At 36.2% G+C, this 23,474-nt stretch overlaps 1 protein-coding gene across 4 annotated transcripts in view; it reads right to left on the bottom strand.

The window, feature by feature from the left end:
- Nucleotides 1–23,474, bottom strand: part of POLR1D (RNA polymerase I and III subunit D) — a 46,669-nt gene that overhangs the window by 11,819 nt on the left and 11,376 nt on the right. For 3 of the 4 annotated variants that reach the window (XM_047430381.1, NM_001206559.2, NM_152705.3), the window contains one exon: nucleotides 7,140–7,214. In XM_047430381.1, coding sequence (XP_047286337.1) covers nucleotides 7,140–7,214 — 75 coding nt within the window. Of the gene's footprint in view, nucleotides 1–5,351; nucleotides 5,553–7,139; nucleotides 7,215–23,474 lie in introns of those variants that run through there. The other variant, XM_017020622.2, reaches the window with a different exon arrangement.

Genomic DNA, 23,474 nt, shown 5'->3' with positions numbered 1-23,474 from the left:
ACGTATAAAAACATCACCTGTGTAATATTCCTTCCTGTCAAACAAGTTTGACCTGAATCTAATCAAGAAAACATAATAAGGCAAATCCAGTATGTGGAACATTTTTGCCTGGATCCTGAATCTGCATCCCAAACAAAAGGCAACCACTATAAAAGACATTTTTGGGATGTTAGATGATGATATGAAATTATACATTAATTTCATTGATATGGTAATTACAATGTGGTTATGCATGAGAATGTCTTTGAGATCTGCATGCTGAAGAATTTAGGGCTGAAGTATCAAGATGCCTACAATTAATTTTCACATGGTTCAGCCAAGAATTATATGTTTGTGTATTACATGTAAATATACTATACCACACAATCATAGATAATCAAACAATGTCCTTTTTTCTCATTATATTTTCTAGTGGGCTATTGACTGTATAAGGAATTGATTTTGAATGTTTATCTTGTGCTAAACCACTATGGGTAGACATCCTATCTTCAACAAATGACCCTTTGTCTCCTTTTTTCTCCTCCTAGTTATTTTCCTTGTTTTGCTGTATTTGCTTGCTGGCACCTATCTAAAGCAGCAGTTCTCACCATGTGACCCGTGAACCCTGAGAGTCCTCCAGACTCATGAGGCAATCTACAAAGTCAAAGCTATTTCCATAGTTTTGATATAATTTGCTTTTCTCCAGAAGGTTGACATTTGCACTGATGGTGCAAAAGCAACAAGTAAAACAGTGGCAAGAAACAAGGCAGTGATGAAAAACTGTACCAGTGGTCATTGTACTCTTTACCACCATGCACTTCCAGTTAAAAATGGCCAGTTTTACTTGAGAATGTCCTTGATGAAGCAGTGCAAATTATTAATTTTGTTAAATTTTTACCCTTGAGCATCAGTCTTTTTAATAATGTATGTGTATAAACGGGACATACATACAAAGCACTCTGGTACTTGAGATTATGATGGAGGCCTCAAGGAAAAGTACTTGTGTGACTGAATGGCAAAGTGAACTAGCTGGTTATTCAGATGTGGGTGGGCCTGTCACTTCTAGGAAAACAACTCCCAGTATTCATTGCCAATATATAACTGGAGCTTCCAGATGAAAGAAAATTAGAATTTTGGCAAACTGTGAACTTGACAGGTTCCCTTGACACTTAAAAGACTGATCTGATGAGATTGGTGATGATATTTACAAATGTGATTTTAAAAATATTATATAATGACACGTGTCAACATTTGGAAGCTTCATAACTCAGTGAACCAATATTTTCCAGATGACCAATGATGATGTTACAAAATCAAGAATAAGTAGAAGATCCAGCCAAGGTACAAGGATATTATATAAAGGGCTTTTACTGTAATAGGATAGGAAAAGTACACATTATTAAAAAGAATATTACGAAATTACTACTTGAAGTTACTTGCAAAGTTCTGATGTAGTATCAAAGAAGAATATCTACAGTCTTCTGAAAAAGTTATTGAAATAGAGCTAAAATCACGCAATTTACAAGTGAGTAAGAAAATATCAATCATAGTTCTTGCTCTGTAAGGAGCGTTCAAGGGGCTTGGTTGTTTCTTGCCAGCTCTCCAGATAGACATCATTTATCCTGACAACTTTAGTATCACCTACTGGCTTTGTTAAACTTTCTGATATGTATTTCCTTTTGAAAATACATATCTTTGTAAGGTAGTATTTTCTTCACATACTTCAGCCAAAATAACACATTACAATAGATCGAATTCAGAAGCAGATATAAGAACCCAGGTGTCTTCTATAAGCCAGACATCAAAGAGGTTTCCAAAATTACTGTACTCAATGCATTTTGTTTTGCAAATATAGTTATTTTTCTTATAAATGTTATTTATCTTAATGTATTTGATTTATTATTTAAAAATGAATAAATACTTAAAAATTGCCCAGCTTTAATTTTAAACATTGGTATTGATAGATATAACCCACATAAACAAAAGCTCTTTGGGGTTCTCAATAACGTAAGAGTGCAAGTATCCTAAGATGTTTGAGAACCACTGTTCCAAGACAATTGAGATAACCAAGTAACAATCCCAGCAGGAATTCGTGTCTTTCAGACTCATGGGAAAGTGTAATTTCACATCCTAGTCTCCCACGGGATCCACCTCTTACAATCTGGAGTATCTTACTTTGCCTGCCATCTTTTATTTACTCCCTTTTCAACATGCTTTTTCCCTATACCTGGGAAGAAGCTGCTAGTTGTCCCTCAATATCTGCTCTTTCTTTTTTCTGTAGTCAAAGAACCCCAGATACTTATCTGCCACGCAACTGCCTATGAAAAAAAAGATGAAATTTCTGTCCTTGCAGCTAGATGTAGACATCAGACTAAATTCTGGCCAATGGGGTACATGAAGAAATGGTAAATACAGGCCGGGCACGGTGGCTCACGCCTGCAATCCTAGCACTTTGGGAGGCCAAGGCAGGCGATCACTAGGTCAGGAGTTCCAGACCAGCCTGGCCAAGATGGTGAAACCCGATCTCTACTAAAAAAAAATACAAACATTAGTCAGGCATGGTGGTGGGCACCTGTAATCCCAGCTACTCGGGAGGCTGAGGCAGAGAATTGCTTGCACCAGGGAGGCAGAGGTTGCAGTGAGCTGAGATCCAGCGACAGAGCAAGACTCCGTCTCAAAAAAAAAAAAAAAAAAAAAAAAAAGAAATGGTAAATGCAACTTCTGGCAAGTTTTCTTTTTTTTTTTTTGAGATGGAGTCTCACTGTGTCCCCCAGGCTGGAGTGCAGTGGTGTGATCTCGGCTTACTGTAACCTCCCTCTTGCAGGTTCAAGTGATTCTCCTGCCTCAGCCTGAGTAGCTGGGATTACAGACGTGTGCCAGCACATCTGGCTAATTTTTGTATTTTTAGTAGAGATGGGATTTCACCATGTTGGCGAGGCTGGTCTCAAACTCCTGACTCAAGTGATCCGCCCACCTCGGCCTCCCAAAGTGCTGGGATTATAGGCGTGAGCCACAGCGCCCAGTCATGGCAAGTTTTCTTAAAGGAAAGGGGTGTGCCTTCCTTTCTGCTAACTGAAATGTGGACTCAGTGTCTGTTACTATATTAGACTATGTAGAAAAGAGTCATACCCTATGATTGGGAGATTTGGAAAACTGGAAGGAGCCTGGGTCCCCAGTAACTCTGTGTAACTACCAACCTAACCAGTGTTATTCCTAAAGAGTACATCAATGCCCACACAAATCTCAAGACAGTCTGGTGCACATGGTAACTTTCCCCAGGGAGAGCAGAACTAGCACTGATACACTAGTTCTTTTACTATCAGAAAGTTTTATGAAGCCAGTAGGTGGTACTAAAGTTGTCAGGATAAATGATGTCTATCTGGAGAGCTGGCAAGAAACAACCAATCCCCTTGAACGCTCCTTACAGAGCAAGAACTATAATTGATATTTTCTTACTCACTTGTAAATTGCATGATTTTAACTCTATGCTGAGTCTTTCTAATAGGTATTAGATTGGACCAATGATTACTGACAGCCTGATGAAGGTACAGCCTTATATCCGAAACCAAAGCACCCTGTGCCTAAATAGTTTATACTAATCTGACTCACAATAGTAGAGGCACCTTATTTCTGTAAAGCACAGAGGAGGGCTGGAAAGAAGAGCAGATTTAACTAATATTTACTAACTAACTGCTACATGCCAGGAACCATGCTGGGTGTTTTCATACACATTATCTCACCAGATTTTCACTATCATCCTCCCACTTTTCCCATGAGTCTATAAGACAATAATTCCTGCTGGCATTCTTATTTTTTTCAATTGTCTTATAATAGTGGTTCTCAAACTTTGTGGTCTTAGGGTACTTTACACTCACACTCCTAAAAATGATTGTGGACACCCCAAAGAGCTTTTGTTTATGTGGGTTACATCTATTAATATAAATATTCAAAATTAAAGCTGAGCATTTTTTTCAGTATTCACTTTAAAATAATATATCTATTATTTACTAGGTATTTTACTGAAGCTAAGATGATTACACTTGATAGATACAGGTTGACTCACATTGGATTATTTCATTATATAATTTCATCCATAAATATATCAGAATACATTTCTAAAAGATAATGGCTTTTAAAAATTAAAATAACAGCAATACTATCACACCTAAAAAATCAACATCAGTTCCTTAATATCATCAAATACCCTCAATTGTTGAATAACTTTTTACAGTTAGTTTGGATAAAGACACAAACAAGGTACCCATTTTATTTGATGTTCCTCAAATCTATTAATTCACAGCATACTCTTCTTTCTTTTCTCCTTGCAATTCATTTGTTAAAGAAACTGGGTTCTTTGTCCTGTAGCATTTCTCACATTTTGGATTTTTGTGATTGCAGCCTTATGGTGTCATTTAACATGTTTCTCTGCCCTCTGTATTTCTTGCAAACTAGTAGTTCTAACTAGAGACTTGATCAGATTCAGGTTCAATTTTTTGACAAGGATGCCCCAGAGGTGGTGGTTTGCTCTTCTTGCATCTTTCTGTGGTATAAGGGTTAATGAATGTGTTGAAACTCAAATGATGATAATATTATTCTATAATCCTTCTAATATATTAGTTACAATTCTTCTGTAAAGTTTTCTTTCATCAATTAATTGGTGACTTTGAAGTATAATTTGTACAGGGAACAGGGTAAATGCTTACTTCTTCCTATTTATCAGTTTTGTGAATAGTGATTTGGTGCTCTAGCATCCTATAAAAGGGACTACCAGGTTTGTTATTATGATTATCATTATGACCTTACAGATTTTAACATATTTTAGGTGTTTTAATCATTTATTTGTTTTTTAAATCAAATTATATCATCTTTGACTAGTGGGAGACCTTTCAAGTGGGTCCTGAGTCTTTCTGAAATGAGTACATTGGTCTTTGACAGTTTCTTTGCTTTCTGGTGTGACAAGATTTTCCAGCTTCTCTTATACATTTCCTGCCCATGTAGTCAAGAGTTTGGTTTGGCCCAAAGAGAGGGCTGGCCTTTGCCTTAGCTTCCAGAAAGTAATGTCATAGAAATGTCTTTGTTTAGGGTGGAGCTGGTCACACCTAAGAGTCTTAGAGTGGGAGCTGGCCATGCCAGAGAGACTAACATGTGACTTAGGGTGAGAGCTTTGGGTTACGTGGTATCAGTCAACCTGGAAACTGAGATCAGTCATGTAATCCATCCATCCATCCATCCATCCATCAATCAAACCTATGTAATGAAACCTCAATAAAAACTTTGAACACTGAGGCTCAGGTGAGCTTCCTTGCTTGGCAATATTCCATGCCTATTATCACACACTGATGCTGGGAGGGTAGCATATCATGACTTCAAACCTATTTAATGAAACCGCAATAAAAACTTTGAATGCTGAGCCGCAGATGAGCTTCCTTGCTTGGCAATATTCCATGCTTATTATCACACACTGATGCTGGGAGGGTAGCATGTCCTCTTCACGGAGCAGAGGATAACAGTGGCTTTAATCTTTGTGTCTTATTTTGGCTGATTTTAGTTTGTATCTTGTCCCTGTAATAAGCTGTAACCACAAGTATAACAGATTTCAGTTAATTGTGTGAGTTCTTCCAGTGAATTATTGAAGCTAAGCGTGGTAGTTTGGGGGAACCCTCTGAACTTGTGGTTGGTAATAAGAAGTAAGGATAGTCTTGGGGACTGTGACCTCTAATTTTGCAGTTTGGCTAACTCTGGGCACTGCTTCAGGTCTGCAATCAGTTCTTACTCTAAGGATTCCGCTCTCCTTTCAGTGAGAAATGGTATTTACATAACACAGTTTTGGCACCGGGGTGCTCACTGCTACTGGGTGGGTGGTCATTGTTTCTAGACCTTTTCTGTGAAGAGAACTAGAAAAAGCTTTTCTCTCTCCCTCTCTTTTTTAAGAGAAAATCTAGCACAACCTCATACTGATGTTTCCAATTCAAATTTAGGATTATAGGTAGGTTTTTATTTCTTTGATTTTATATTTGTAGCTCTTTAAAATTTTCATGTTAAATCTTGGTATTTATATATAGAAAGTATTGCTTGTTTTATCCTACTATATAATATTTTCAGAATAGCAATACCAATATTATTACTAACAATATGATGACTGAAAACAATTTCTTTGTAGTTATTTTTTATCTTTTGGAAATATAGTCAAATTCCAGATCACCTGAAATAGTTTCTTTCCATGTAGCTAAGCCATCCACTCAATGGTTTATCAGGTCCATGTTTTATTTTGCTTGATTTTTAGGTATTATCTTTTCCATTTTAATTTTTGTCTTGGAATTTAGGTGAACTATGTGCATGGTTCTAAATGTCAAAATTACAAAATGAGCTATGTTCAGAAGTTTAGCTTCTACTCTTTTCACATTTTTACATTTTACTCTTTTTAATGACCCTCCTTATTCCATTGCAGTACGTTTTTAACTGTAGATATAAATTCCAGAATCAACAAATTCATCAAATGCAAATGGCATCACTAAAGTAGTGCCTAGAAGGGTGTTTTTTTTGGTTTGTTTTGTAGAGATGAAGTCTCACTATGTTGCCCAAGCTATTCTCAAACTCTTGGGCTCAAACAATACTCCCACCTTGGCCTCCCAAAGTGCTGGGATGACAGGCATAAGCCATTGTGCCCAGCCCATATTATTAAGTTTTAACAAGCTCTATTTTGTACATAATCTGCAAAGGTAATCTTTAATTCTACATGGCTGAATTGTCACATAATCAAAATGCTTACAGTTAAAATTAATTTCCTAAAATAAATTTTAATTTACTAAGGACTATAAGTAAACTAGAAATTCTTAAACAATGAACACCAACATAATATTACTCTTGCACAGGTGACTTTGCGCACAGTAGTATCTAAATACCTCTTGGAGACTTGTGAACTAAAGGGACAATGAACCTATACTGCGTATCCTCCATAGGCGCCTGCTGCCCATTTCTTCATGTTATTAGAGTTTCTCAACATTCAGTTCTCAGCAGTGTCTTACTCTACACTTGTCTCTGAGAGATTTCCTCTGCTTCCATGGTTTCCCATTTCCTCTATATGCTAAAGATTTACATATTTATATCTCCAGCTAAGAATTTTTTCTTAAGTTTTAAGGAAGATTACTCAAAGAACTTACCAACCCATGGGTCCCATTGTTTCAGCTCTAGTTTTCCCACGTTTTGCCTCCTTAAGCAGTTCTTCTATTGCTTTCCTGATAAGAAAAAGGAAAAGATTTGAGAGGCAGTCACCCTACTAAGTTCTGAAAATCAATTCATTCCAGGTCCATGATCTTGGGAAAGGAACTAACTTTTGAAGCATGATTGCTGGGGCAAATTTTTTTTTAAATGGTTGACAATTTTGAACACATAAATTAAAAAGAAACTATTAATATAAAGAGAAGCAACATTGAAGAGAAAAAAATTACAAACTGGAAAAATATTTTTGATATGAGACAGTTAAATCATATATCCTTAATATAAGAATTATCTTTTCTTATTAATTTGAATAACCAAAAGACATGAACAGCCAAATATGTATATATCTATATTTTTTCAAATTCACTGTTATTCAAAGAAATACCAGTGAACTCAACAAGGATAAATGTTTCTGCCCATTAGTTAGTGAGGGGGTAGAGAAATGGATAACTTCTTCTCTACTAATGGGGACTGAAGCTGATATTACATTTCTGGAGGACAATCCAGCAACATAATAAAGAACCTTAAGAATAGTATATACCAGTTGATCTAAAAATTTTTTACTTTGTCCTATGAAAATATTCAAATAAGTATGGAAAAGTATATGTACAAGGATATTCAAACTACTTGTTAACAATTAAAGAAAAAACAGAAAACTTAAATATTTACTGATAAAGGATTGGTTAAATAAATCATAACATATCCACATATGTGGAAGATTAGGCAGTCATTAAAAATGAAGACAAATGAATTTTTGGCACAGGACACTCATAACATATTCAGTATATAAAGCTGGTACAAAAGAATATGTGTAGAATAACCTTAATTTCAAATTTATTTACATATATATTACATAGAAAAACATTTGGAGACGGCTAGGTGTGGTGGCTTATGCCTGTAATCCCAGTACTTTGGGAGGGTGAGGTGAGAGGATCACCTGAAGCCAGGAGTTTGAGACCAGCCTGGGCAACATAGCAAGACCTGGTCTCTAAAAAAAATAAAAATAATAATAATAAAAAAATTTGGAGGGATGTTATCAAAACAGTAAGATGAGTTTTAAGGTGATTTTTTCTGTTTGCATTGCTGCATTTTCTATTTTTTCTACAATGAACATGTATTATTTGTGTAATTTTTGAAGAGGTTAAAAAAACAGAAAACATATTTATCAACCATATTCTGAGACTTTACTATGTGTAAGATACTGTGCAAGGTGCTATGGGTAGCAACATAGGAAGATGATCGTCCCTGACTTGAATATGATGTATCAATAACAAAGTTAAGAAAAAATAAAGTTAAGAAAAAGAGAGGTATAAACAAATATAGTCCAAAACAAATATAGTCCAAAGACAGAACTATAAATCTAATCATGAATTTTTGAAGCTGGATAATTATATAGAGTCTATATTAAAATGTTATGACACTATTATAATGCTACCATATACTATATAATCTTCAAATGATATTAACATTCTGTTTACAAGAATGTTTTATTTCATGTTGATTTTTATCAAAGTAAAGCATGCACATAGTTTAAAAAGACAAATATTATTTAAAAGATTTTAAATACAACAGTCTTCTAAATTATCCTGCCCTACCCACCAAAGAAAACAATTTCAACTTTTTTCATCTGTTTCTCGTTATTTACCTCCATATTCCTAATACTATGCTTTCAAACTATTTCACCACCTCTTAATCTTCAAAAATACATCTGCTTATTTTTGTGTAACTCATTTTAAAATAAACTCTTATTGAGATCTTTAAAAGATGTCTTTTCAGTTAACTCAGCAGCTTGACATTTTCTGATCCTTCTTGGGAAGGCCCACTGCTACAGATCAATGAAAAACTAAAGCGCTTGCCTATCTACTGACATGTTGACTCCCTCAATCACAAGTTTCGCAGCCCAACCTCTTATGGAATCACAAAGAGGTAAGTTCATCTGATGACCACATATGCTGCTTCTTCCAGCTCTTTAGAATAATGATATGGCCTGCTGAAATGATCTGGGGACTTTGTCTCTTACAGTTCAAGCAAAATTTATCCTAATAAGGTCCAAAACAGATTGTTTTTCACCCTTATAGATTTAAGTAAAAAAATTAAAGGGTATAAATATTCCAAATATGCCTCTTCCTTTCCCATAAATTAGTGTGGTAGTTTTAAAATAAAAAGATAAATCATACCTAGATCCACCTATGTGCTCTCCTTCTGTCAAAAGAAATGGTTAAAAATAATCAGGAAAACAACTTTTTGGGGCAGTTCCCCAATTATGAACAAAATATGTATCAGTTACAAATAAACTAGAATGTGTTTTCCCATAAAAACTATGTTAAAATGTTTGCCTAGCTTTCTGGACCAGACTATAGAAACTTATTTGAGTCAGAATCCAGCTGAAATGCTATACATCTGCAGAAGATACTCAGTAAAGATTCTTGCAGAGACCCTGAAGGCATATTCTAGGTGCTTTCAAGAGCTTGAAGTTTGACAGTGACTCTTCTTTAGTTTCGATTCTACTTAAAACTGTCTCTAGCACTGTTATTAATTTTACCTGGCACGCTTAAGGATGCCTTCTGGTTTACGAGTACAAAGAGAAAAGAAGATATATGTATGAGAAAGACTGCCTGCGGTGAAACAAATTCACCAAGGATGGAGGACCATAAAAGGAGGAGTAGATACTGGGTGGGAGGGCACTCAGTCAGCTTGTCTACCGTGTTCCCACTGGTAAAGGGGGCTTAGCTGCTGTTCACAGCCAAAGTGGTGCAGCGTGACCCATTCCCATGGTTCGGATCTACCCAAGTTAGGTATCTGCAATTGGTTTAACAACAACTAATGAAGATATAGAGCTTTAAGTATACCAAGTACTATTCTATATAACCATGATAACATAGTTATTACCACCAATACAGATGTGGAAAGTGATATTCAGAGACATCGACTAACTTGCCCAAAGTAACACTGCTAACGATCAAGGAGAAGGGCAATGAGGAAGAGGAACAAAGCAAACAAAACCCAACCTCTGTTTTTAAGGCTAGGTATCATCTGATCCTTCTATTAGACTATCTCCTCCACAAATATCTGCGCAGCAAATCCTGGAGAAATTGTTTATCATTAAAAGGCAAAAAATAAACTAAATGGGGAAAAAAAAGGCCTAACAGAGTGCCACTACTGCATTCATTCAAAGAGAACTGGGGGATAGGCTGATACTGGAGAGGCGGAAGGAATGAAGGAGGACTGATCACTATTTTGTCCTAAGAATGTTGAGCATTCGCTACTTCCCACCCAAAAGTCTCCTGCATAAGCTCCCTCTACAGAGCTTTACTTCCAAAGAAGAAAACAATTCTTAGCAATCAAGTATCCCAACCTTAAAACACTATAACTACCTTCAAAATTAAGGGGAGAAAGTCAGCAACTTCCCCATTACTGTAGCCTCTGTTGTTTCCTCTAGAAATCTCATTAATGAATTATTGGGTAAGGAAATTATAAATCCAGTTTCTATTCTACATGATCACAGGGGCAAAATAACTTAAATTATCAAAGATTATGAAACATTAACATGCATGAAACAAGATAGTTTTTAATGAGGTGATGAAAGAAGTATAAACTGTAATTAAAATACAGGAAAAGCAAATAGGAGAATATATAAGAACTAAGTATATACAGAACTTGAACAATTAAAAAATTATTCAGACATAAACTTAGTTCTTGGTATGCTAGTTTTTACACTTGGTTCTTTTCAATATCTTGAAGGTTTCTTTGTAAAACTAATTAATTATATTAGAATACTAAGTTCCATGGAGACCCAAGAGAGCTGAGTCATTAAGCAGACGGTTTTCTGGGCACAGGAACAAACCACAATCAATTTTCAATGATCCATGTGTGTATTATCTCCAGCCAATTTTCCATACTAGCACAGCTTCCTCAGGCCTGCCTGTTCACTCCATTAGCCAGCTGGTACATGCTTAAGGAATGTCAACTGATCATAATAGCAGCTTAAATAAAACCCAAGTAGGAATGCAAATCTGGTACAAAATCATCTTAAAATCCAAAGTCAAACAAATTAGTTTTGAGTTATCTGGGTCTGTTTCTTTTTAATCACTTTAATCAACTGAGGGTTAACTGTTCCAGTGTACAGAAGGGGTAGCAAGAAATTGAAGGCAACTGAAATAAAGCACCAGAAATTGAGAGGAAAATTAAATAATAAAGTAGGAAAACAGGAATTTTAAAGGAATAAAATCAGAGAAGCTAAATCTCAAATAACTGCTCAAAAATGATGGAGTCAGCCAGAGGGAACTATAGGCCTCTTCCTGTGATGGTGAAGGAAAGCTAGGAACACAAGGCTGAACGTTAGAAGCTTTCCTCATTTGTGTCTCTCTCAGTCTTTAAAAGTCACCTTTGATCAGCTAGCTGTATAGTACAGTATCTGTCACATGATGGACAGAAAAACAGGTTCAAAAAAGGCAATACATTGCTTAATAAGACTACTCTCTTCTTGATGTGTTCAAACAAGCATGACTTGGTGACAAGAATACAGACTTCTTAGAAAATTGGCAGAAATGAGTACAGCATCATTTGCTGCTGTTGACTGGGAAGTTATCTAAAAGGCCCAACACATTATCAGTGCTGAAGGCAAACATGTTTATACTTGTGGAGTCGTCCACATACGTGTAAAAGAAACCTTACTATGGCAATCTAAATTTCTTCCCATAATGGAATGATAAAGCTTAGAGAGAAAAATGGAACTATCTACTCGATCTTCAGTAAAGTTTTGATGTCAGGTCATTGATTAAAAAAATATAGACAGATGATCAGATCACTCTGAACATCTGCAAACCACTGCTTATAGGTTCACACTGCCAGTAGTAACTAGTGGTTTAGTAGTCATAGGGATCTGTAGAAACCACAGGACAAAGTTTGGGTTCTTTATGACTTAGTGTTTTGACTACAGACACAGGCAAAAATTCAGAAATATCCTTATTTAATTTCAGTAAAATATCAGATTGTCTGGGGTCATGTATCAGCTCTAAAGAAAGGTACAAAAATTCAAATTGTGAAAAGCGTTTTTAAAGACAAGGTAAAACTCAATAGGAACACTGAGGTTATTTGGGAAATGAAAAGACTTATTCACAGACATAAACTAAAGGCACAATAAATTAATCTGCACATTTTGTTAAATTCAGCTAATCTACATTACGCACTTGCTAAATACAAGGTACTGTGATTTATACGGTGAATTAGGCTCTTCCCTGAAGAGGCTATTAGGGCCTGCATATAAAATAAAGAGCCATATATGTACTTTAAAAACAAATACTGGATTATCTAGGAGAATGTGAGGAGGGAGCTCCAATATTCATTTATAAAATAACAAACAGAAAGTCATGAGAAAAGGTGCTGAATTTTTAAGAAGAACTTATGCTGGTAAAAGACTGGAAGGTGATGGAGGAACATGAGTTTGAAAGGAAAATTAATGAGATCCTTTGTTGATTTCATGCCCAACATGAACTAAAGAGATAGATGAAAGTGGTATTTTAAGCAGTGGTGGAAAAATAAGACAAAGATACTGCAGATTGCTTTTTGCAATGATGATAATAATTACTTCACAGGGTTGTTATGAGGATAAAATAAAATATTTGATTTGGATCCAAGTGTTCTGTATTTTATAGGAAGCAGAAGAAATATGATAGCTATTTTTTTACACTCCTAAAGGTCTCGGAACTTGTCTTTTTCAACCTAGTTTTCTCTATGCCTGGCACATACATGGTTAAGTTAAGATCTGGGGAATAAATGGGTTCTGGGTATGTGTGGGACATGATACAAATGCAAGGTTTTAAAAATAAAAATACTGCATCTGTAGACAGAATAGATGATGATGGGTGAGATGGAAGAAGAGGAAAGACAAAGGAGGTGAGAAGAAGATAAAAGAAAAAAATATAGTATGTCACTGGGTAAATAAATGTAATGAAAAAAATGAAGAGCTACAGGTTCCTGAGGGAGCAATCCCCTGTAGTGGCCAAACAAACAGGGGCACAACAGCAACACGTATCCTTAGTGTCATCAAACATTAGGGCAGACTGGGAAACCACAGACACTGACCAAGGACACAGAATGAGGCAGAGCTGGAATATTTCCTGTCAGGATTGAGGACTTTGATCTACTAGGGCTGTCTGAAAATCTCAGCAAGGTTTCAGATCTGGAAAACACTTTTCCCTTCAGTGAGCTACTGATCAGAGATAAATGGCCTTTGTTTAGCTTCCAATATTATTCTTTTGCTTCATTGTATATATATACCTGTTAACATCCTCTGAACTCCATTTCTTAGTGGAGATGCTAATTGTGTTTTGAGATGACAGCGCCTAGTGTTGGAGTGGAGGGTGCCACTACAGAGAGGGTGAGATGTCACAGTGGGGCCACTGGCCTGTCTCTGCAAGGCCTTGCCACACAGATGCTCTGTGGGATAACCACATCTAGGGCCTTGGCTCTGACAGTCCAGAGACATAACATGGCTTAGACACTCCCACCAACTGCCAACACTACATTTGCTGTTACATGCACGGGGGAGCTTTGCCCAGGTTATGCCCTCTGTCCAAATCACTCTCCACTCACAACCTTTACACCAGACACTCAGCTCTCACATTACCTCTCCACCAAGCCTTTCCCGATCTCCCTGTTTGCTCCACATCAATAGATGTAACTGCTCCTTTCTTATAGGCCCACTGAGGGGCACATGAAGTCCCCATACAATATTTCCAAACATGTAAAAGTTATAAAATAAGCTAAAAATATTTAAATATATTTCTTCTTCCTATCTTGACAAATATGCTTTCATCATAACAAAATAAAAAATATTTTCAGCCATTTTTTGAAATGGCTGAATATTTGGATTAATATTAATATTTGGATTAATGGTAATATTTGGATTAATGTGGAAAGACAGAAATATTTCGTATATATTCCATGAAACTTATTTTCTTGCACTGATTTTAATAAAGTCCCTAATTATATTGTTATAATCAAGATTTTCATATAAATTAAAAGTGATTTCATTCCTTGCAAATTATAGGAAAAAGAGCCTTGTAAATACTTTGACTTGGGGCTTATCTAGAAACACCAGATGTGTAGGAATTAATATGGAAGTTTAGCATATGGCCCAATTGCTGTCAAGCAAACGCTAAGAGAGAATTGTGAATTTAGGCATTTGATATTTCACATGAGATGTGAAAGTATGGTTCCAGGCATTTGTATTGAAAATGCAGTGCCCCTTTTTTTGTAAGCACAAGAGTGTACAATCGGCCCTCTGTATCTGTGGATTCAACCAAACATGGATTGAAAATTTTTTTTAAAGAAGCAAAAAAATAACAATACAATGAAAATAACACAAATAAAAACCAATACGGAATAAGAGCTATTTACTTAGAATTTACATTGTACTAGGTAAGACTAGATTATACCTAGTACAATGTAATATTAGTAATAATAGATTACTTAGGTTACAGGCAATCTAGACATGATTTAAAGTATACAGGAAGAGGCATGTAGGTTATATGCAAATACTATGCCATTTTATATCAGGTTTTGGTATCCATGGGGGTCCTGGAAGCAATCCCCCAGGGATACTGAGGGAAGGTTATATGTTCTATAAACCATAATAGTCTAAAAGTATTAAAAAACAAAATGTAAAATAATAAAATGATCTATGAATCAGTGTCAAATTTCTTGTATGTTCCACATAGACCTACACATATACAAATATAAGAGTAATATGATTTAAGATTGCAAAATGTTACTCAGTTTCCAGGTGCAGCTGTTTCAAGTACGGTATTAAATCATGAGTATCTTCAGAGTCATGAACTGAAATAATATGACAAGCAAGAAAATGGAAGCTTAGCACTAGTGGGAAACAATATTTTCTTAGTGAAGGATCTATTGCATTCATGCCAAGATGAAGGATTTGACAAGTTAATGTCTTTTTTAACTTTTCTGCAGTTCAAAACCTTTCCATACTCTAAATTAGTGTCCACTGGAAAGTCAACATTGGTACAATCTTCACATATTTAAACAGTTTCCTTTCATTCAAGGGTGCAGGTCAAAACATGAGTAGGGTGTTTCCTGGGTTATGAATTGCACTGAGCACTGGATCTCCACTGACAGAGGCATCTATATATTTGTGATATATAGGGCTGCTCTCCTCATCCAGGGTCCAGGCAATTCTCCTTTGAATACAGTTATAATATGCATTTAATATGCACCACTGGGACATGATGAAAAATTATAATGGTAACAGTACTTATGTACCATGTACCTTACAGCTAATCCTCACAACTCTATGTAGCTACCGTTTCATAGATAAGGAAATAAGGAGAATATAAGGAAAAGTCAAGAAACTTACCTAAGGCCACAACAGCCGATAAATGATACGGCCTGGGATGTGAACCCAGGCAATCTGACTCTAGGCCCCAGGATCTTAATCCTTACACTACGGCTCTATTACAAAACATGATCCTAGTCCTCAAGAAGCTCAGTCTAGTGAGAGGGGCAAGGAGAGCAGCAATATTTAATGGTACTTATCATGACAAGAACTGCTCTGGCAAAGACAAAACTCAAGTCCCCTCACCTGGACTTCGACATTCTCAAATCTGCAACTATCCATTTATAGATGGCCTCTGAGAGTGGATTACTATTACAGAGAGATCACTTCTTCAGTTAAAATGTGGGTTAATTCTTAACGTTTAGCTCCCAGGGAAAACTTATTTCTCAGTTCATAAGACACCTACTTCACTGTAGGGTCTACTGACCTCATTTTCAAAGCAGCAAGTATTTTTACAAATATTTATTCTTAAATCCTGATACAGAAAATACAGTGATTGTTTTTCAATTCATATTATAAAACCTGAGTAAATGTGCTATGGTAAATTTTTATATAAGCTATGAAGAAAGGCCCCTCTTACTGAAAATAACTTTGTGGGGTGGTGATGATAGGGTTACTTAGGAAATGTTAAACTCTGAATAGAAAAGCCCATGGACAATACAATAACAGGAAGAGCAGATCTGTTGATAGGTCAAATGTTAGGTTTAAAAATATTACAGTCTATGCTCTTCTGAAATATTAGTTAGGGGAAAAATCCACACAGAGAATATAAGGTCAAATAATTATTGAGTTCTTTTACTCAATAAAATGTATTTTGTTATCTCTTTAAGAGAACAGATGCTTTGGAGAACAAAACTGATGAAAACAAAACTGCAAAAGAAAAAGGGATTTAAAGTCTAGAAAGATGGGTGTGGAAGGGAGCCAATACCCAAGCAAAGAAAAGCTAATATGGCAGCTGCTTGAATTTAGTAAAGGATAGGAAAAATGGCAGAAGACCAAAAAGCAGAAATAAAAAATAAAATTCAGACTCTCACCAAATAGCTGTTCAAAATGTAGACAGGAAAAAAATATTGCAGAATTTGTACAAAAGAAAACATTACAACATAAGCCTCTAAAGTTTGCCTCTACAGCTTTTTTTTAATGAGGGAGAAGTTTGGTAGGTGTACTGTTTTTGATAAACACACCACATACCAGAAAAATCACCTCACCAAAAGCTTTGTCTGTAAATCACTCTCTTAATCCTAAAAGAGCTTTATGTTATACAAATCATCTGCAGTTCTCTGTAGACTGTCCTAAACAATACCTCAGAGCTCTTGGATCTCAGCCCCGAGGATGGCCTATTCAGCAGAAAGTCTGGTCAGCCTGCTGAAGCTATTTTCTTCAGCGTGTCAAGGCTACAGTAATCTGCTAGAAAACAAGCTGTCCACCCCTTGTAGATTTCAGTCTCTGATTCAGCAAATGATTATAAATTATACTCAAAGCTAAAAGCCAAAGAATAGGGAAAAAAAGAACATAAAAGAAAGTTCTAGAATGTGTAGGATTTTGGCATCTCATCATTTCATGCTCTTTAAAAAGTGTTTTCATTTAAAAATACACATAGAAATTAGTCTCTTGAAAATGCTATTTCAAGATAAATAATTTACCTGTCATCATCTGAATAAAGCCATTTTTAACCCCAGGAAGAAAACATGTGTATACTTCTAATTCTTAGAAATCTAGCAATACACAATGAGATGGGAAGAAGAGAAAGCCTGCACTCCACAGACAACATCACAGGTTCAGTGACAGTCCTGTGACCGTTAAGTGCAAGGCACAGTCCTGCCTTAGAGGCAAGAGATGATGAAGGGCCAGTGAAATAGAGGGTGTAGCCCACTCTAGAGCAACTGTGCTTCCCTCCTGCTGTGGGGACTGCCAGACCAGGCCTCATCTTGATCACCAGGCATTTTCTGTCTTTCACACTCTAGGCATCAAACATGGCTTTGAGGCATATGGTAGTTTCCTCTACACACTGGCAGGGAGAGATTTTGAAAAAATAGTACATATATACGTAGACAATATTTTCTACATCAATAATTAACTACAAAAATATACTATACAAAAAAAAAATTTATGCCAGTGTGGTGGCACATGCTTGTAGTCCCAGCTACTCAGGAGGCTGATGGGGGAGGATGGCTTGATCTCAAAAGTTTGAGGCCAGCCTGGGCAACACAGCAAGACCCTATCTCTAAAAAAAAAAAATTTTTTTTAATGTATTAAAACCCATCAGTAAATTCTTAACTCTTTAAACCCTACACCGTCAAGTTTCAAGTTGTTTTTCTGGTGCCAATTTATACGGCAATGAAATTAAGTAGGACAAGGTAATTTTAAATCCCATTTTACAATTTTAAAAACTTAGTTAATATATATACAAGTGTTTTGGGAAAATTCCATATTTATATAAAGGAGTAGTTAATAGAGTTAAGCGCTTAAACATACACATAAACCTAACTTTGAGAGCAGCATCCCTTTAAGGAAAATGTTTATAAAAGTTCAAAGTGATGAACTTAGATGGTCCACTGAACAAGTCAGCCAAAAGTGCACAACTGTGCAAATAAGGTTTTATATTGACATTCAAAGCTCCCAGAGATGCTTCCTTCTTAGCTGGCCAAAGTTGTAGAGCTCTGGTACAATGCAAACACATTCTTACAGATGCTGAATTCAACAGCACAGGAGGAACCACTAGAAAGGCTGCAGAGATTAACTGAAAGGAAGGAAGGAAGCAGCTCATGGAGACTAATCTCTATAGTATGGAGAAAAACCCAAGGCATGGAAAATTCTATTACGATTAATCCAACCTTTACCTTTATATCATAACACATATCATACCAACAACACATCAGCTGCCAAAAGAAAGAAACCACAGAGAGTAATACAATCGATGATTCTGGCATCAGAAACCAGCTGCAAGACAACCAAAACCCAGCAAACCACACTTTATCATTCAGAGACTTATAAATTATATGTGATGATATAACTAAGAAGGGAAATGTGAAAGCATGTTCTAGAGCCAATGTTTAACTATGCATTGTTTTAAAAAATATCACAAACTTAAACACAATCTTTTCTTGTCCCTGAATTAAAACTATACTTTAAGTAGCCGTACATATTAGGACCATCTCATCCACTGAAACATAAACAATCCTTAGGGATGGAACAGCAGCTGCAGCTTAATTGGATGGAGCAATGCTAACAAAGAGTTTAGAACTAAGTTAAAAATAGAATAGGTACCCAATTGAGACCGCAGGGGAAAATTCTGAGAGATAGATCATGCTGATTATCCAAACAGCATAATTTGGCTTCCTCCCAAAGTCTAATACACTCTTACGCTTACCAAGAAAGGGGCGCTGCATTTTCAGTACAAATGCTTGGGACCATACTTTCACATCTCATTTGAAATATTAGACCCCTAAATTTACAATTCTCTCTTAGCGTTTGCTTGATAGAAATCGGGACATACACTATATTAATTCCTGAACGCCCAGTGTTTTTAGAAAAGTTTCAAGGATCTTTTCACTATAACTTTCATTTTAATTACCTGAACCAAAATGTTTGGGTAAAGATCCATTAAATACAATCTATATTATTAAAAAATGTAAGGGAAAAGTTTCTCAAATGTTAGAGTTAGAGGCCATCTGGTTTAACTTTGTCATATAAAACCGAGGAAATTATGGTTTAGAGAAGTTAACAACTTGCCTAACACTAAATAATATCTGGTTTTTGAAAATTTAACTCAAAATTACCAATATTTAAGCCTAGATGGCATGTATGGTCACCCTAGGGAGAAACGATGAGGAGACAGATTATAATTATAATATTTTAGCCCAGGATCATTACCTTTAGAGGACAACACTTTAAGTACCAACACTAACACTATCCCAATGCTATGTGATGTGTCTATGATTATTGTGATCTGCAATACACAAGCTTCAGAGCAGAATTTCTTACCCGAAAAATCCAGACTGAATAGACTTACTCAGTAACTGTTCTATCTTTATATAGTCCCTAAAACACCTCTCAGTGCTTTTAGAAGACAAATTATGCAGTTCTTCCTTTACAGTTTTAAATCTAGGACACCATCAAGTAACCTTAAGAGAATAAGAAAGCAGCCACAATATAGTGGTGAGAAAATGAGTCCCAGTTCCGCACCTACTAGCTCTGTGATCCTGTGATATTCAAGGTCACAAAGCTATGCGATTAAAATGAAGATATTTCTACTATCCTTTCAGAATTCTTAGGGGGATTAAATACAATTTATATATATATATGTGTGTATGTATATATATATATATATATATATATATATAGTTACTTTGTAACTATAGAGCACTGAACAAATCTATTAAGAATTTTTAAAAAAATAATCATTTTATAGTTATAATTTTAATAGTAATCATAGATAGACTATTGATAGTTATGTATGTTAACTAAAATATCATGTGCACAGCAATTTACTGAATAATATATATTACCTCACCAAGTCTGAGATGAACCCTTGAAGTTCCTGTTTCCCTTTTATTGTTTAGGCAACCAAGGCTTAGGGAGGCTGCCTTGTCTGAGGTCAACCAGTAAGGGGAACAGCTGACTCTACCCCAGAGCTTTCTGACTTCATATCCAGAGTCCTGTCAAATAACACATACCCTTATTTCATTCAATCCGTGAATAAAAGTTTCTATATTTTGAGGATGATCAAGTACTGCTTTAGCACAATATAGATGAAAAAGTTAAAATGAACATATTTAAAGATAATACTAATAACGTTTAATAATATGAAAAATGGTGTTTTCAGAAACCAAGTATTGTCAGTAAACCTTTATTTGGGTTCTTAACAAGTTACTCTCTCATTCATTTGATTCTTTTCATGTTTAAGATTTACAAAGAACAGCCCCTATTGCCAGCATGTTTCAGCTAGGCCAACAATTTTGTCTCTTAAACTGAACTCCTTGGAGGATATGCTCTGGCAAAGCTGTTATCTTTATGAGTCCAAGGCAGGTAACATCGACAACATCACGCCCATTAAAAGCTAAGTTTGGCCAGGCATAGTGGCTCATGACTAATCCCAGCACTTTGAGAGGCCAAGGCAGGTGGATAGGTTGAGCTCAGGAGTTCGAGACCAGGCTGGGCAACATGCAAAACCCCATCTCTACAAAAAATACAAAAATTAGCCAGGCTTGGTGGCTTGAACCTATGGTCCCAGCTACTTGGGAGGCTGAGGTGGGAGGACTGCTTGAGCCCAGGAGGTCAAGGCTGCAGTGAGTCAAGATCACCCCACTGCACTCCAGCCTGGGTGACAGAGTGAGACCATGTGCCAAAAAAAAAAAAAAAAAAGCAGAGTCTATGGAGTCAGGCCATCTTTCAGTTCCTATCTAATTACTAGTCATATAACCTTAGGCTGGTTACCTAACTTCCCCAGGTCTCAGTTGCCTTTTCTATAAAGGGGAAAAGACACTATCTACCTTGAAGGAGGATTAAACTTGTTTTCCTACCTGGTGAGGCAAATCAGTCTTCTTACTTTACAGTCACAGTTACGTGTCTGTTAGGCTGTCTGCTTTTGGCCAGGAGTAAGTCTAGTTGGCTTCCTCATGTTCTGGCTTGTTCTGATCTTTCATTGCTCTCCGATGGGGACCAACTTATTAGAACAAGGAAATAGGAAGGGAATCCTCTGCTTGCTTGCTACAAGTCTGGGCAGCAGACAGTGACACACCTGTAAGCTAACACTTCTAAAGACAGACATTTTCAGCACAACAGTTCCTAATCATAAACCCCTAGAATCCTTTATGTTTTCCAACCATTTAAGGACAAAGTACAATCTTTGCCATATAAACAAACTAATCATAAGTTTCTAATCATAAGCCCCTGGAATCCCTAATATTTTCCATCCATTTAAGGACAAACTGCAGTCTTTGCCATGTAAACAAACCAATAAACAAAAAGCAGAAATAAAACTGTAGAATCAAGTCTAGAAGGCTTCAATTACAAGGTCTGATAAAGAATATAAATCCAACTCATTTACTTTGACAAGAATATGATGATGGTACTCTCTTACTCCTCATCTTCAGGGAATGAAGAGATAAATGAAGCTTATATTAATTTTATATTACCAATTTTAATCACTTTTGGAAACAACAACAGCAACACAAACCCCTTGTTAAGTATTCCAAGCTCCGGGACTTATGTTTAAGTATGCAGAACAAAGCAGCAACTCAGGATCTGAAATAATGTTAGATGAGGGATCGCAATGTTGGGTGATCCTTCACTTGAAATCTGAATTCCAATGAAAATTTATTCTTAGATCCCATGTAACTTATTAACAGTTGTAGACAAATGCTCATGAGGACCCAAGGGAAAAGTGCAAGAGTCTGTTCAATTTATTGTGGAGCAAACATGATAAAAATGGCACAACAGACATCAAATTATTGAATGCTTTAAGTCTTTGTTTTGTCCTTCAAGTGCTTCAGGTCACCTAAATAAAGACTAGGATTTCTGGCAATTTTCCATGGAAGTGAAGGAAAGTCCATTTCACAAAGTAAGGGCAAAATAAAACTTAAGCAATCCTACATCCTTTCACCCCATTAGATTTTTTTGAAATATTATCGGTCTGGGAATTCCCCAAATCCAAAATCACACAGTAGGTATATGGGTAGAACAGGTGCTCACAAAACCAACATTGTCGGCCTTGGCGGGGGTCAGTTCTCATTAATGTGAGATGCGTTGCAGTCAAATTTGGCCTTGCAGATACAAAGCCCTGCCTTCTTATGTGTGTATAAACAACATGCCCAATTCTTCTTAGCTCAGGTGACCCCTCTGGAATCATCTACCTGGCAATATCTATCAGATCTGCTTGGTTCCTACTGCATAGGCTACTCCTCTGGCACTCTATCTTTGCCTGCTCTGGTCACCCTTTGCCTAAATGAACCTCTAGGTCTGACTCCTCCTGGACAGGCCCAGTCTCTTGCCAACTACATGTGACAAACTATGGAGTTGAAGACACACAACCACAAATTTGTGGTTCTCAATTCGAAGCTTATAGAATAGTTATTTCCCTTTTTAAATTCAAGTTCAGCTCTTGGGGTATTTAATGTAAAAACAATACAGAGTCAATCTGCTATTCATTCATTTGATAAACATTTTTTGAACACCTGCTATGAGCCAGGCATTGTTCCAGGGGTTGTGGATACATCAGTGAACATTAAAACAAAAATCTCTGCTCTCACAGAGCTTATGTTACAGTGTGTGTGTTTGAGGGGTAGAGGGAAAGGCAATATATAATGAATATAATAAAAAGGTAAATTATATATCTCATATGTTAGAAGATAAGTGCTATAGAAAAAATACAAGGTAGGAGTGCTGGGGGGCGGGGGGTGCTGCAATTTTAATGAGGTAAAAGAGTTACAAGAAATGACACCTATCCTTCAGTTCTTTACTACACAGCTCTTTGGTCTAGTCGGATTGCAAACTCTGTGAAGGTAGGCATGAAATGAGATTCGTCTTTGCTTTCTTGGTACCTGGAAAACAAATGGACCTTAAATAGCTGCTGGAAAAACAAATGCATGCATTCTGTTATTTTTCCAAAGCAATGCTATTTGTAGTAAATGGCATAGATTTACGAGACAGCTGGTTAGGAAATGAGTGTACTATTCGGCATTGAAAAAACAGCATACCTTGGAATCAAATCCTTTCAATTCCACTTCATGGTACTCAAAACTACAATCCTACCACTTTTTCCCTCCTAGAGTTCTGTGGGGATAAGATCCCAAGGAAAATTCATATCACTCTCCCATACTGCTCTTGCAAAGTAAAAATATCCATCAATCAACTTCAAGTGGGAGATATTCTACCTTTTTAAACCAATAGACAAGACAACAGATGAGGCATGGGATCAAGG

The sequence above is a fragment of the Homo sapiens genome, chromosome 13 (assembly GCF_000001405.40).
Source record: "Homo sapiens chromosome 13, GRCh38.p14 Primary Assembly".
NCBI lineage: Eukaryota > Metazoa > Chordata > Mammalia > Primates > Hominidae > Homo > Homo sapiens.
This window is presented reverse-complemented; position numbering and strand designations above follow the sequence as displayed.